At 44.0% G+C, this 14,749-nt stretch overlaps 2 protein-coding genes and 1 long non-coding RNA gene across 16 annotated transcripts in view; 1 reads left to right on the forward strand and 2 right to left on the reverse strand.

Moving 5' to 3' along the window:
* The window catches only part of ATF7-NPFF (ATF7-NPFF readthrough), a 119,695-nt gene that overhangs the window by 23,924 nt on the left and 81,022 nt on the right, over nt 1-14,749 (reverse strand). For all 3 annotated transcript variants that reach the window (NR_159377.1, NM_001366560.1, NM_001366559.1), the window contains exons 4-9: nt 12,719-12,837; nt 6,804-6,941; nt 3,891-4,048; nt 2,549-2,648; nt 1,899-2,012; nt 1,133-1,285 (exon numbers count right to left, since the gene is read on the reverse strand). Coding sequence is in view for 2 of the 3 variants with exons in the window: in NM_001366560.1 (NP_001353489.1) it covers nt 1,133-1,285; nt 1,899-2,012; nt 2,549-2,648; nt 3,891-4,048; nt 6,804-6,941; nt 12,719-12,837 (782 nt within the window). In the remaining variant the exon portion in view is untranslated. The remainder of the gene's footprint in view (nt 1-1,132; nt 1,286-1,898; nt 2,013-2,548; nt 2,649-3,890; nt 4,049-6,803; nt 6,942-12,718; nt 12,838-14,749) is intronic.
* ATF7 (activating transcription factor 7) overlaps nt 1-14,749 on the reverse strand; it is a 118,527-nt gene that overhangs the window by 22,756 nt on the left and 81,022 nt on the right. For 4 of the 11 annotated variants that reach the window (NM_001206682.2, NM_001206683.1, NM_001366563.2 and 1 more), the window contains one exon: nt 12,274-12,837. In NM_001206682.2, the coding sequence (NP_001193611.1) occupies nt 12,629-12,837 (209 nt within the window). In that variant the 3' untranslated portion in view covers nt 12,274-12,628. Of the gene's footprint in view, nt 1-1,132; nt 1,286-1,898; nt 2,013-2,548; nt 2,649-3,890; nt 4,049-6,803; nt 6,942-12,273; nt 12,838-14,749 lie in introns of those variants that run through there. The other 7 variants (NM_006856.3, NM_001366556.2, NM_001366558.2 and 4 more) reach the window with 4 other exon arrangements.
* The window catches only part of LOC124902937 (uncharacterized), a 50,712-nt gene continuing 40,717 nt past the window's right edge, over nt 4,755-14,749 (forward strand). The window contains exons 1-3 of one of the 2 annotated variants that reach the window (XR_007063317.1): nt 4,755-4,981; nt 7,595-7,729; nt 14,603-14,637. This is a non-coding gene — a long non-coding RNA (uncharacterized LOC124902937). Of the gene's footprint in view, nt 4,982-7,594; nt 7,730-14,602; nt 14,638-14,749 lie in introns of those variants that run through there. The other variant, XR_007063316.1, reaches the window with a different exon arrangement.

Genomic DNA, 14,749 nt, shown 5'->3' on the forward strand with positions numbered 1-14,749 from the left:
AGTTTGTTTCTTTTGAGACAAAGTCTCACTCTATCACCCAGGCTGGAGTGCAGTGGTGTGATCTCAGCTCACTGCAACCTCCACCTCCTAGGTTCAAGCGATTCTCCTGCCTCAGCCTCCTGAGTAGCTGGGATTACAGGCGCACATCACCATGCCCCGCTAATTTTTTGTATTTTTAGTAGAGACAGGGTTTTGCCATGTTGGCCAGGCTGGTCTTGATCTCCTGACCTCAGAAGATCCGCCTGCCTCGGCCTCCCAAAGTGCTGGGATTACAGGCGTGAGCCACCTCACCCAGCCTATTTTTTGAGGTATCTTAACACTGTAACATCACATTTCATTAATATATTGTTATGGTTTTTGTTGTAAAATCTTATCAGGTAAGTTATTACTTTTATTTAAGACTTAATAGATAGGAAAGAGACTAGGGGAGCCTCTTTTGTTTACTGTGTGGCTTGAAGTAAGGCTCTGTCATATTTTAGAGGATTCTACAGATACACTAAGCCATGACTCATATATGGAAAAAATGGGGCTGGGCATGGTGGCTCACGCCTGGAATCCCAGCATTCTGGGAGGCCGAGATGGGTGGATCACCTCAGGTCAGGAGTTGGAGACCAGCCTGGCCAACATGGTGAGACCCCGCCTCTACTAAAAATACAAAAAATTAGCTGGCCATGGTGGTGGGTGCCTGTAATCCCAGCTACTCGGGAGGCTGAGGCAGAAGAATCGCTTGAACCCGGGGGGCAGAGGTTGCAGTGAGCTGAGACTGCACCACTGCACTCCAGCCCAGGCAACAAGAGCGAAACTCCATCTCAAAAAAAAAAAAAAAAAGCGAGGCCGCTGCTGCAACAGTTCTGCATTACTCAGTCTGTTTGCATGAAAGTCTAACACAAGGGTGAATAAAGAATGGTGTGTTTTTGTTATTACATGATGGTCTCAGCTAAAATAAAAATGAATAAATAATAAAAAGAATGGTACGTTTTGCTATAGTCAAACTGCCATCAAGAACCAAAGTAAGCAGGAAGAAACCCAGAAAGCTGAAGTCCATTCTTCTCTAATTTTCTGCTCCTTGAACAATAGATATGACATAAAGATACGTCATAAAGATATGACATAAAGAGTAAGAGCCACTGACCTGTGGCTGGGCAGGGGATGGGGCATCAGGGTGCTGGATGAGAATCTGGCTCTGCTCTGGGCGGGCTGTCACCATGGTGCTGGCAGTACCCACCACCATTCCACAACCACCATTGATTGAGGAGACTTGGTGAGTTAGGGTGGCTTTCAGTCTCTGTGGGCAAAGATAAGAAAAAATGCTTGTTAAGGATCAGATTCTATCAAGGATGAGAAGAGTGGCCTTAGATTTTATTATTGACCTTATAGATAGCTAAAATTTCCACTCTAGTTCTCCCTTAACAGAGGAATTAAGAGAAAATGACAGGCAGAGAAAATGTGCACCTGGATCCCTAAAATGCCTACTCTGTTCCCTGGCTATCATCCTGGGCACAGTTGGGGGCTGGGGGTTGTTAAAGCAATAGTGTCCAGATGAAAGCTCTCTCCTGGAGCCTGGCCAAATGCTGGTTACGCAGCTATTCACCTCTTGGCCAGCTCCCCTGCCCACTCGCCCACCCTCCATCTGTCACCCTAAAACGGCAAGTGTTCCATTCCAAACAATCTGTGCTGCCTCTTTTCACTGCCATGGTCTATGTACCAGGCTCTAAAGGTGGGGAGAGGAGATGGGAGCTATGAATTGGAGTCTTTTCTTTTCCAGACCCCACAGCAGGGAGTCCTTAGCTTTGCAAGCCCCAGAAGGTTCCTTTGCTTGGCTCACTTGAAAGACCTAGGCTGGTATCACCCACTTCTTTCAGAAAGGCCAACATTGCCCCAGACTGGGATGTACTCACCATCTTGGCTTCTGATGGTATAGGGTGGCCAGAGGGAGAAATGGAGCCACTACTGTTAACTGGTGGGCCAGGGATACCAGGAATGTTGGGCACCATGGACACAGGTCTGGCCAGCTGGATCGAGAGAAGGAAAAAAAAAAAAAGAGAAGGGAACATAATACCATCGGTGGGGCAACAGTTTCCCTAAAATGAAGCGCTTTTGAGATTGGCACATCAGGGCCTGTTGTGTGCAATGTGCCCATAGGGCGTGCAGGGACAGCCTGGGAAATACCTTTCTCCATGGAGCACCAGAGTAGGGAATTTAATCCTTCAGTGTTGGGGCAATTTCTGTGGGAAGGGTTGGGGCTGTTATCTTGAGGAAATTGTTGGGCAATTTGGGAGGTGCTACGTGCCAAGTGAAAGCAACTAATCAGTGGGCTGGCAAGATCAATTCCTAGACCAGGAGCCAATTGTCCAGATGAGTCTTTATCTAGTGTTCCATAGTGCTGGATTGGCAGAGGTTAGTGAAGAGTTTAGGCAGGCTGCCATGCTCAGCTAATATAGATCAGAGCCCACATTTCCCTGGGGCTCATGTGTATTTTATGACCATTCAGGTGGAAGGGAAGGATTACCATGTTGGTAGGGTTGGCTGCCCCAACTACAGAGCTCACCGATATAACAGACGGCATCTGTACTGGAGGCCCTGGCAACACAGGCATGGTCTGTCCATTAGCAAGATGCATGACAAGAGGGAGGGAGCCAGTGGGAGACCTAGAGGAGACATGAAGTGAAATGCTCATAACACAGACCTTTTGTCCATGGATCTTCCTCTTATAATTACAGAAGATTTTCCAGTCTTCTCTAGTTAGGGAAGGTATAGGGCAGCATGGTAAAAATCTTGACACCCTCATGAAGGTGAGAAGGCAGGGAATCCTATTCAACTTACCTTATAGATGGAGAAAAATGGCAAAATCTTTATACTTTGCAAATTAAGCAAACTCAAATAGTAGGAAGCTAATCCTATTAAAGGGTTTAGAACAATTAAACATTCCTACCACTGGCTTGCCTTGGGAAAGGGGAAGTTGGATCAAAGTCGTCATTTTGCAAAGCTGAGTTAGGTCACATGATGGCCAAATCTGAATGTTTCTCTTGTTTCTTTCCATGGCTTGCTCTACCCTGCCTCAAAAAGAAGTTGTCCCTTTTTATTTTTCCTAGTGGGTCCAGAGAACAATAAGCTCTAAGAATCTGAATCCTGACAACAGCCTCTTAACCCATGGGTACCGTGCCAGGAGTGAAGACAAACAGACAAATAAAATTAGAGGTGGCAAAGACCAAGAACCCTAACTGGGACTGAGGAGACTTAATGGGTTTCAGTGTTTCATTCAGTAGTACCCCAATAGACTTCTACAGGGTGTGGTTTCCACACTGTAATGAACTTCTAATGTTTTAAGAGCTCTTTTTAGATTAAAGAAGTATTAAACCCTTAAATTAAGAAAGTATTACCCCCGGCTGGGCACGGTGGCTCACGCCTGTAATCCCGGCACTTTGGGAGGCAGAGGCAGGCGGATCACGAGGTCAGGAGATCGAGATCGTCCTGGCTAACACGGTGAAACCCCGTCTCTACTAAAAATACAAAAAATTAGCTGGGCGTGGTTGCAGGCGCCTGTGTTCCCAGCTACTCGGGAGGCTGAGGCAGGAGAATGGCCTGAACCCGGGAGACGGAGCTTGCAGTGAGCCGAGATTGCACCACTGCACTCCAGCCTGGGCGACAGAGCGAGCCTCTATCTCAAAAAAACCCAAAAAAAACAAAAAGTATTACCTCCAAATAAATATTTGCTTGTCTATTAAAAAGGTAAAGAAGATTCTGTTTATGGGGGAAAAATTTATTTTGAGAGATAATCTCAGTGACTTATTTTCCTTGGGTATTGGAAAACAGTCCCAGTTTTATCAAATAGTTTCATGTAATGGAAAGAAATGCAGCCTTCACTACTTCTCCCTGCTCTCTGTACTTACCCCATTTGCCTGTTGGATGGTGGAGCCTGTGTGATGACAGAGGTTGGGGAGGGAAGGGTTGGATGAAGTGGATCATAGCCCAAGTGGAGAGGCAGGGAGCCAGGACGTACAATGGTGGGTGTGGGGGTAGAGATCAGAACAGGCTTTGGGGTAACCTCCTGGAGAAAAGAAACCAACAGATCACAAAATGTTTTAAGGTGTGCTTATAGGGAAATATATAGATGGTAAAATCTAGTACAAATTTATTGGAAAGAGCATTAGAGCCACTCATTAAATCATGACCTGATTCCATCAGGATCAGGGACCCATAACTCACTCATCCATTCAGGAGGAATGGTGTATTAAGATCTCTTGGTCATCTCCCCTTTCAGAGACAATGGCTACATAAATAAGATGACAGTTGGAATATCACTTGAAATCTCTGAAGCAGCACTGTAGTACCATATAAATTCTAGAGACTGTTATAATTTTTCACAATCTAGATACTCTCATTCTAAACTTGATACCAAGTGTCCTCTGAACTTCAGTGGGAAAAGGCAGGTATACTGGTAATGATGGTAATGAGGCAACCCAACATCTCCAACACACCTCTTAAAAAAGGGCTATGGAAGTTTGGATAATGATCATACTGTAATAAAACAAACTGCTCTCATTGTTAACTTCTTAAGATCTTAGACTGCCAGTGGTCAAATGGCCTTGACAGCATCCCCAGACAGTCTGTAGGACTTTGTTGCTGATGAAAAGGGAGGAGAGAGGCGGAGGAGGTTGCAGTGAGCTGAGATCGCACCACTGCACTCCAGCCTGGCGACAGAGCGAGACTCTGCCTCAAAAAAAAAAAAAAAAAGAAAAGGGAGGAGATGGGATGGTTGTAATGTTTATGAGAAGACAGATTTGAGAAGTTATCAAGTCAAATTTGGAGGGAAGTAACATGAGATATAGATGCTCTATCCATAGTGGATGTTAAAATTAACAACCACTGGCAGAGCAGTAGATTGAAAGAAGGAGGAAGCATGAGGGGGCTTCTGAGGTTCTAAGAAAATGTTTTTGATCTAGGTGCTGGTTATACAGACTACTGACTTCGTGAAAATTCAGTAAGTGATATAATTACAATTTATATACTTTTCTGTACATGTACTATATTTCAATAAATGTATTAAAAATAGTACTTCATGAAAGTACTTCCTTTAAAAAGAATAATCATCAGACTTCTAGTAGATACTTCCTTTAAATCACTTCTCTCTAGGATGACATTTTTTCGAAACTGTTAGATGTCCAATTTATGAATTATGTGAATTTTTCTTTCTCACTTATTAATTGAAGTATAACATACAGTGATGTGCATTAAAGTCATAACAACAAAATGACTTTTAGGCTGGGTGCGGTGCTCACGTCTGTAATCGCAGCACTTTGGGAGGCTGAAGCAAGAGAATTGCTTGAGCCTGGGAGGCAGACGTTGCAGTGAGCTGAGATTGCACCACTGCACTCCAGCCTGGGCATCAGAGCAAGACTTTCTCTCAAAAGAAAAAAAAAAAAAGATGACTTGTTACAGATGTAAAATCAGGATACAGACCATTTCCAGCACCCCAGAAAGTTCTATGTCCCTTTCCAATCCACACCATTCCTTCACAGGAGGTAAATGCTATCCTGAGTTCTATCATTGTCAAACAGTTTTGCCTCTTCTTGAATTTTATAAGTATGTACTTTTGTGTATGACTTTTTTGTTGTTGTTGGATATGTTTGTGGGATTCACTCACATTGCTGTGTAATTATTAGTTCACTTTTTTTTTTTTTTTGAGACGGAGTTTTGCTCTGTCGCTCAGGCTGGAGTGCAATGGTGCAATCTTGGCTCACTGAAACCCTGGCCTCCTGGGTTCAAGCAATTCTCCTATCTCAGCCTCCCGAGTAGCTGGGATTATAGGCACACACCACCACATCCAGCTAATTTTTGTATTTTTGGTAGAGATGGGGTTTCACTATGTTGGCCAGGCTGGTCTTGAACTCCTGGCCTCAAGTGATTCCACCACCTCGGCCTCCCAAAGTGCTGGGATTACAGGCATGAGCCACCGTGCCTGACTGATTTTTGGCTATTAAGAATACAATTGCTGGCCGGGCGCGGTGGCTCAATCCTGTAACCCTAGCACTTTGGGAGGCCGAGGCGGGCAGATCGCCTGAGGTCAGGAGATCGAGACCAGCCTGACAAATGTGGTGAAACCCCATCTCTACTAAAAGTACAAAAATTAGCCGGGCGTGGTGGCACGCACCTGTAGTCCCAGCTACTTGGGAGGCTGAGGCAGGAGAATCGCTCAAACCTGGGAGGCAGAGGTTGCAGTGAGCCAAGATCACGCCATTGCACTCCAGCCTGGGTGACAGAGTGAGACTGTCTCAACAACAACAACAACAACAAAAGAATACAATTGCTATGAACATTCTAACATACTTCTTTTGGTAGACATATGCACTAATTTCTCTTCCATATAGACTTATAAGTGAAATTGCTGGGAAGGAGAATAGGTATAATTTATATAAATCTTCTAAATATTCCTTTAAATACAATCGGTCCTCCTATAATACATACTTTTTTTTTTCTTGAGACAGTCTCACTCTGTTGCCCAGGCTGGGGTGCAGTGGAGCAATCACAGCTCACTGCAGCCTCGACCTCTAGGGCTTAAGTGATCCTCCACCTCATACTCTCAAGTAGCTGGAACTACAGGCATGCTCCACCACGCCCAGGTAATTTTTGTATTTTAAGTGGAGATGGGGTTTCTCCATGTTGCCCAGGCTGGTCTTGAATTTCTGGGCTCAAGTGATTCTCCCATCTTGGCCTCCTGAGTAGTTAGGACATACTATTTATATAATTAATGAATCAAAACTTTATCAATTAACATTTGAGATGATCCTTGGTAGAGAATTTACCTTCTCCTTCAGTGGTGGGGAACAGGGACTAGAGGCAGGGCTATCAGGTGGGGATGAGTCTACCTCCACTGGCTCTTCTTCTTTGATTTTGATGTCTGGTGTGGAAGGCAGAGACATGTCAAGGGGCCCAGCAGCAGCCTGTTGTGAAAGAAAAATGAACAGAGTTTAACCCTATGATTCCTTTCAGGTTGAATCTATATTTTCCCATTTCCAAGATAAGGGAATATGCTTCTAAGAAGTTCTGCTCTTATACAATGCACTGAACTGCATGTCAAATAAATGTGGGCCCCTTATGTTTGATTTGTTTTGTATTTTGAGGCGTAGTTTCAATCTTGTTGCCCAGGCTAGAGTGCAATGGTGTGATCTCGTCTCACTGCAACTTCCACCTCCCAAGTTCAAGAGATTCTCCCGCCTCAGCCTCCCAAGTAGCTGGGATTATAGGCATGTGCCACCACGCCCAGCTAATTTTTTATTTTTAATAGAGATGGGGTTTCTCCATGTTGGTCAGGCTGATCTCGAACTCCCGACCTCAGGTGATTCACCTGCCTCAGCCTCCCAAAGTGTTGGGATTACAGGAATGAGCCACTGCATCCGGCCAAGAAATATGGGCCCCTTATGTTTTATGTACAATTCTGGCCAAATCATTTTGTCGGTAATTCTCAGGGCTTCTGTTTCCCCAACTATAAGATGAAGATAATACCTGCTTCACCAATGGTAAACAAATATTTATAAAGACCTGAAAAAAAAGATGCCATTTAAATCCATGCAAATATTATGATAATATTTTTCAGGAAATCAAAATAATTCCTGAATCTGCTGGCCACTGGAGAGCTGTGAACACTTTCTCTGCCAACAAGGATTACCCAATTACCAAAAGCAAACAAAGACAAACTGGCTATTCAAGTACTGCAAACCAGATAGGAAAGGTATTTTCTGGGGAACTCACCATGCTTGATGGTGATCTCACCCCAAAATATGGTGCTGGATGTATCAGGTAGACAAGGGGTTTGGGGTAACAGAAAAGAAAGGCTGATCATCTGATTGGTGAAATAAATGACAACTTGGTCTTAGGAGCAAGACTGGAGAAAACCAGAAAGGAAAGAGAGCACTTTCCTGGCAGTGATGCAATCACCTCACAGAACTGTGGAGCTGTAAACGGCCTTGCAGGGAACAATAAACCATCTGAGATAATGGCCTTGACACTGAACCAGGATAGGAGGGTTGGCATTGCAGTTCAGTTTCATAACAAAGTGGATCCTTTGTTCTATCTATCCTGTATCCCAGGCTTCTTGGTGAAGCAACTGCTTGTTTCAAGATCTTCCCTTGCTACCCTAACCCTTAGAAACCTTCTTGATAGCTAGCTGAGTAAATTAAAGATAATGTGATATCTACTACATTAGAGAAGGTAGTAGTGGTTCATTTTCCCCAATCTGAGGAGGGTGAGCAACAGCAAAAGTAGCTTCATTTCTGCCTCATTTTTTCTACATAGCTAAGATGTCAGGTCCAATTTAGCTAATTCTGAGATCTCTTAAGTCAGAGACTAGTGGGAAGGAGAAGCCTCTAAGTAAATACAACCATAGATTTGAAATCCTCTAGGGCATCTCCTAGCAAAGCTGCGGTTCAGCAAAGTTCCACACTCATTAAACACTTCTGGAGACTCTTCCACTGAGCCTGTACTTCTCATTAAGGGGAAGTAAAGACCACTCCTGTACAGGCAGGAGGATACACCAAGGAATGCCCAGTGAGGAAAGGGCTGACTATAAACTAGTCTCCCAGAAGTGTCAACTGAGCTAAAATGGCAATGAAAAAGACTTGAAGCTTTTTATGGGAAGCTAATTTTCTTGAATTTGCCTATAATAAATTGGGTATAAAATCCCTCATAGGCCAAGTGTGGTGGCTCATGCCTGTAATCTCAACACTTTGGGAGGCCAAGGTGGGAGGATCACCTGAGGCCCGAAATTCTAGACCAGCCTGTGCAAATAGCAAAACCCTTTCTTGGACAGGTGTGGTGGCTCATGCCTGTAATCTCAGCACTTTGGGAATTCGAGGTGGGAGGATTGCTTGAGCCCAGGAGTTTGAGACCAGCCTGTGCAACATAGTGAGACCCTGTCTCTATGAAAATAAATTAGTCAGGCATGGTGGTACGCGCCTGTAGTCCCAGCTACTTGGGAGGCTGAGGTGGGAGAACTGGTTAAGCTCAGGAGGTGGAGGCTGCAGTGAGCCAAGATTCTACCAATGCACTCTAGCCTGGGAGACAGAGCAAGATCCTGTCAATGAATGAATGAATGAATGAATGAATGAATGAATGAATGAATGAAAAAAAATGACAAAAAGACTGTGGCTAGTTCTGCCATTTGAAAGCAGAACTACAAGACCAGGTGTGGTGGCTCACGCTTGTTATCTCAGCACTTTGGGAAGCTGAGGCTAGTGGATCTCTTGAGCCCTGGAGTTCAAGACCAGTGTGGGCAACATGGCAAAACCCCATCTCTAAAAATAAATGCAAAAATTAGCTGGGTGTGGTGGTGAGTGCCTGTAGTCCTAGTTACTCCAGGGACTGAGGCGGGAGGATCACTTGAGCCTGGGAGTTTGAGGTTGCAAGCACCATTGCACTCTAGCCTGGGCAGCAGAGTGAGGCTCTGTCTCAAAAAAAATACGAGGCCAGGCACAGTGGCTCATGCTTGTAATCCCAGCACTTTGGGAAGCTGAGGTGGGTGGATCATGAGGTCAAGAGTTCGAGACCAGCCAGGCCAACATGGTGAAACCCTGTCTCTACTAAAAATACAAAAATTAGCCAGGCATGGTGGCATGGACCTGTAGTCCCAGCTACTTGGGAGGCTGAGACAGGATAATCACTTGAACTCAGGAGGTGGAGGTTGCAGTGAGCCATCATGATCGCACCACTGCACTCCACCTGGATGACAGAGTGAGACTCCGTCTCAAAAAAAAAAAAAAAGAAAAAAAAGTAGAACTACAAATATGTGCTACTGAGTTTCCCTGCTTTATTAATTTATTTAAAGACAGGGTCTGGGCCAGGCGCGGTGGCTCACGCCTATAATCCCAGCACTTTGGGAGGCTGAGGTGGACAGATTGCTTGAGCTCAGGAGTTTGAGACCAGCCTGGGCAACATGGCAAAACCCTATCTCTACTAAAAATACAAAAAAATTAGCCAGGCGTCGTGGCATGCACCTGTAATCCCAGGTACTCGGGAGGCTGAGGCAGGAGAATCGCTTGAACCTGGGAGGTGGAGGTTGCAGTAAGCCGAGATTGCGCTACTGCACTCCAGCCAGGGTGACAGAGGGAGACTCTGTCTCAAAAAAATAATAATAATAAATAATAATAAAATAAAATAAATAAAGACAGGGTGTTGTTCCACTGCCCAGGCTGGAGTGCAGTGGTTCAATCATGGCTAACTGCAACCTTGACCTCCTAGGCTCAGCCTCCTAAGTAGCCAGGATCATAGGCGTGTGCTACCACACTCAGCTGATTTTTAAATTTTTTGTAGAGATAGGTCTCACCATGCTGCTCAGGCTGGTCTCGAGCTCCTGAGTTCCAGCAATCCTCCTGTGTGGCCTCCCTAAGCACTGGGATTACAGGTGTGAACCACCAGGCCTCGCGCAGCCCTCTTTCTGTTAGTTTAAGGGAGATAGCATAAAAAGAAACTCATAGAAATCTATGGAACTTGGAAATAACTCCAGTGATAAAGACACTATCTTGCTTTCTTACCACTTAAACTGGATGGAAAAGTCATGTATAACTATCTTGATTTACCTGCTATGTATGCCCTCTTAGAAGGAAAGAGCTCCCATGGAAATTTTTTCTTAAATATAGGGAAAAATAGAAGCGGTTCCAGCTATTCTATATTCTGATAGGATCCCATGCTTCACTATACCATGCAATTGTGAGGTTAATGTGTTTATATATATGTTTTGGGATACAGATGTTGGAATCTTTTATGATTCCAGAAAATCAGGAACACAGACTTGATTTTAAAAATAGTGACCAATAACCTAGAATTCTAATTCTAAAGTAAAATTTGATCTTTGCATTTTTCTTTTTCCCCCAAGCCCCTTATTCCATGGGAACTATCTTCCTTTGACTCTGCTTCTTCAAGTATTTCCTCTCGTCTTCCAAACTAAGGGATTATCTAGGGATCTGAACTATATAAAGGCTAAAATCAGAGAATCATAGCGCCTCAGGATTAGAAGGGATTCCAGCATTTTAATCCCCTCTACAATATCTCTACTAAGTGGTCTACATATAATTGAACATATTTTGTGACAGCTTCCACCCAGTGGTCCTACTTCTCCCTTTAGACCACATGGAATAAATGTAATCCCTCTTTTAATGAATACTCTTGAAGATCGCAATTTGTTCACACTAGATCTCTTTTCCAACCAAAATTTCCTCAATTTCTTTCTTGTTTTTGAGACAAAGTCTCACTCTGTCGCCCAGGCTGGAATGCAGTGGCATGATCTCAGCTCACTGCAACCTCTGCCTCCCGGGTTCAAGTGATTCTCCTGTCTCAGCCTCCTGAGTAGCTGGGATTACAGGCGTGCGCCGCCACGCCTGGCTAAGTTTTGTATTTTTAGTAGAGATGGGGTTTCGCCATGTTGGTCAGGCTGGTCTTGTGATCTGCTTGCCTTGGCCTCCCAAAGTGCTGGGATTACGGGTGTGAGCCACTGCGCCTGGCCTGTTTTTTTTTTTTTTTTTTTAAGAGATAGGGTCTCCGGGCCAGGCGTGGTGGTTTACGCCTGTAATCCCAGCCCTTTGGGAGGCCGAGGTGAGCAGATCACGAGGTCAGGAGATCGAGACCATCCTGGCTAACACGGTGAAACCCCGTCTCTACTAAACATAAAAAAAAAATTAGCCAGGTGTGGTGGTGGGCGCCTGTAGTTCCAGCTACTCGGAAAGCTGAGGCAGGAAAATGGCGTGAACCTGGGAGGCGGAGCTTGCAGTGAGCTGAGATCGTGCCACTGCACTCCAGCCTGGGCAACAGAGCAAGACTCTTGTCTCAAAAAAAAAAAAAGAGAGAGATAGGGTCTCACTCTGTCACCCAGGCTGGAGCACAGTGGTGCAATCATAGCTCACTGCAGCCTTGAACTCCTGGGTTCAAGCAATCTTCCTGCTTCAGCCTCCCGAGTAGCTAGGACTACAGGCATGCACCACCATGCCTGATCAATCTTTAAAACTGTTTTTGTAAACATGGAGGTCCTGCTATTGCCAAGGCTGGTCTTGAACTCCTGTAATCCTCCCACCTTGGCCTCCCAAAGTGCTGGGATTACAAGCATGAGCCAATGTGCTTGGCCACTTGATTTCTTTAAAAGTTCCCGAAGTGACATAGTTTATAGTTCTTTCACCGTCCTGGTTGATCTCCTTTGAAAGACAGTAGGAACATCCTTCTTTATCTTTAATGCTTTGAATAATAGTAGAAAGCTACTTAAAGGCAAAAACCACATATATTGAAACAAAGAAGAGTGGAAATTTGATAAATGTTTATTGACTTGCTGATTCAAAAAAACAGTGTAGCTGAGAAGTCTGATCAGCTCAGAAAAGAGTGGAATTTGGCAACAAATATGTTATCCAACAAAATCTGAGTAATTTATCACCTTTTAACATCTTCAACATATTTATAATATAAATATTTTTTAAAAAACCGATTATTAAACTAATACTCCCCTGGAAGAACAAGAGGACTAATTTTCGGTGACGACAGACTTGTGCTGATCCATCATCTGGAACTCCTAAAGACCTGAATGGCTGACTGGGATTAGTGACTACTATCTGGTTTTACTGGTTTTACTCTACTAAGCCCATGATTTTGTGTTTTAACCAATTAAGAAAATTATCCCAAAGCACAATAAAAATAGCCTAGGTCTGAATACCACCAGTTTTTTGGCAACAGTCCTGCTTCTTGCCTTTTTCTCATCCTCATCTGCAGCTTTCTTGAATTCATGTTCAAAGGAGCTAGCTAGTTCATTGAAGAGTCCCACCTCCTCACAGTTCTTCAGGAATCTAGTTGGAGTAGGCGTTTGATCTGTAGACATGAAAGAAAAGGAAACTGTTTTAGTTTTGATCTGAAATTAAAACTTGATATTAAATAGTATATAGAGAATGCATTTGTACTTTTTGATTTGGAGAGAGAGTCTTTGTGTTAGGGCAAATTTGCTTTAATGGAGCTCTAGTAGGCGAAGGCTGGTGTAGGCCACCAGAGGGTGTCTGTGTTGTGTTGCCTCAAAGCCAGCAGGGGGAAGACCGAACAGTATTTTGTTGTGTGACTATCCACGTACCCACTTTTCTCTCAGTGCTAGTTTTACCTCGTTTACCTCCAACCAAACCAAACCACCCACACAGGTGACACAGTTTTGTGAAACCTCTAGATTTGAAAACCAAGTATAGTTAAGCAATATTTTCTTTCGTAAATTTACTCCCTGCTAGGTCTGAAGTGAGCAGAAAAAGCAGATGGATGTTAAAATCTGATGAGAAGAAACTGAGGATCAGATGGTTGAGTTTGCTGACTAAAGCTACCGAGTAAGAAATAGTGCCTTGTCTTTCAGTGGTCACTGAGGTAATAATGGTCTGTTACCTTCTGAAGGATTCCAGGCAAATCTAGGGGCTGAGGAGTAAGACAGCAAGATCATGAGCTGGAAAAGGAAACTGTAAACAATAGACCTAATTTCACAGAGACCTAGGCCCAGAGCAAGTTCCTGAAACCAGGGTATTCGGATTTAGATTTGCCAGCCAAAATATGCCCACAGGGGCTGCACGAGTCTCTCCTCAACACAGTGCCTCTGCCCTTCTGAAGAGAAAGGCTCTTGGTAACCCATGGGAACTTTTTAAGCAACTTGAATTTTACATTCTCCCTCCCAATCCTGCTTTTTTAGACCTGAATCTTGTTCACAGATCCTAACTCTATTACGATGGGTTTCATTGGCATGCTACTTCAGGGATTCATCTCATACCCCAAACCGCTAGAATGAATGACAGAAATACAGAACAATGTTTAAATGATATTTTAAGGAGTGAGACCTGGGGTTAAGATCACCCCTTCTTGGCTGGGCGCAGTGGCTCATGCCTGTAATCCCAGCACGTTGGGAGGCTGAGATGGGTGTATCACTTGAGGTCAGAAGTTTGAGACCAGCCTGGCCAACATGGTGAAACTCCATCTCTACAAAAAAATACAAAAATTAGGTGGGCATAGTGGCAGGTGCCTGTAGTCCCAGCTACTCAGGAGGCTGAGGCAGGAGAATCTCTTGAACCCAGGAGGTGGAGGTTGCAGTAAGCCGAGATCACTGCCACTGCACTCCAGCCTGGGTGACAGAGTGAGACTCTGTCTCAAAAAAACAAACAAAAAAACCCAAAAACACCCCTTCTAGCCTGATCAATTGAAAATAGTCCAATGGGATTTTCCATGGAAACAGCACAATTTTTATAAAAAAATTTAAACAAAACCTCTTCTGAATCAGAGTGTTTGGAAAAGTTACCACTACTTCTCAAAAATAGTTTTAAAAGGTACTCTGGCAGCTTTGGTTGGCTAACGATAAAGCCACTTTCCCTCCATCCCTGGATGAGTAGAAGTAGTATCATCCTTTATGCTTAGAGAGTACTTTAGTAAGGGCATACCCAAAATCATAACTCAAGTGGAACAGGAGGGGGCAGCTAAGGGCATGGCTATGGCAGAGGAGGGACTTTCAGACCTTTGATATGAGGTTCAAACGAACTTCTCCTGCACCCTGCTGTTCAGGCTCATTTCTGGTTTTTTAAAGGCTCTCCTGTGTTAAACCTAATTCCTCACTTTGCAGGTGGCCTCTAACTTTCAAATGGCTCTGGTTTGTGAACAAACAGACTGCAAATATATCAGAGAACCCTGAACCTGCTCTAATGAATCCTAAAAAAATCAGTAAGTGTTTGTTTTGTTTTGTTTTGATACAGAGTTTCCCTCTTGTTGC

This window comes from Homo sapiens, chromosome 12 (assembly GCF_000001405.40).
Source record: "Homo sapiens chromosome 12, GRCh38.p14 Primary Assembly".
Classification (NCBI taxonomy): domain Eukaryota; kingdom Metazoa; phylum Chordata; class Mammalia; order Primates; family Hominidae; genus Homo; species Homo sapiens.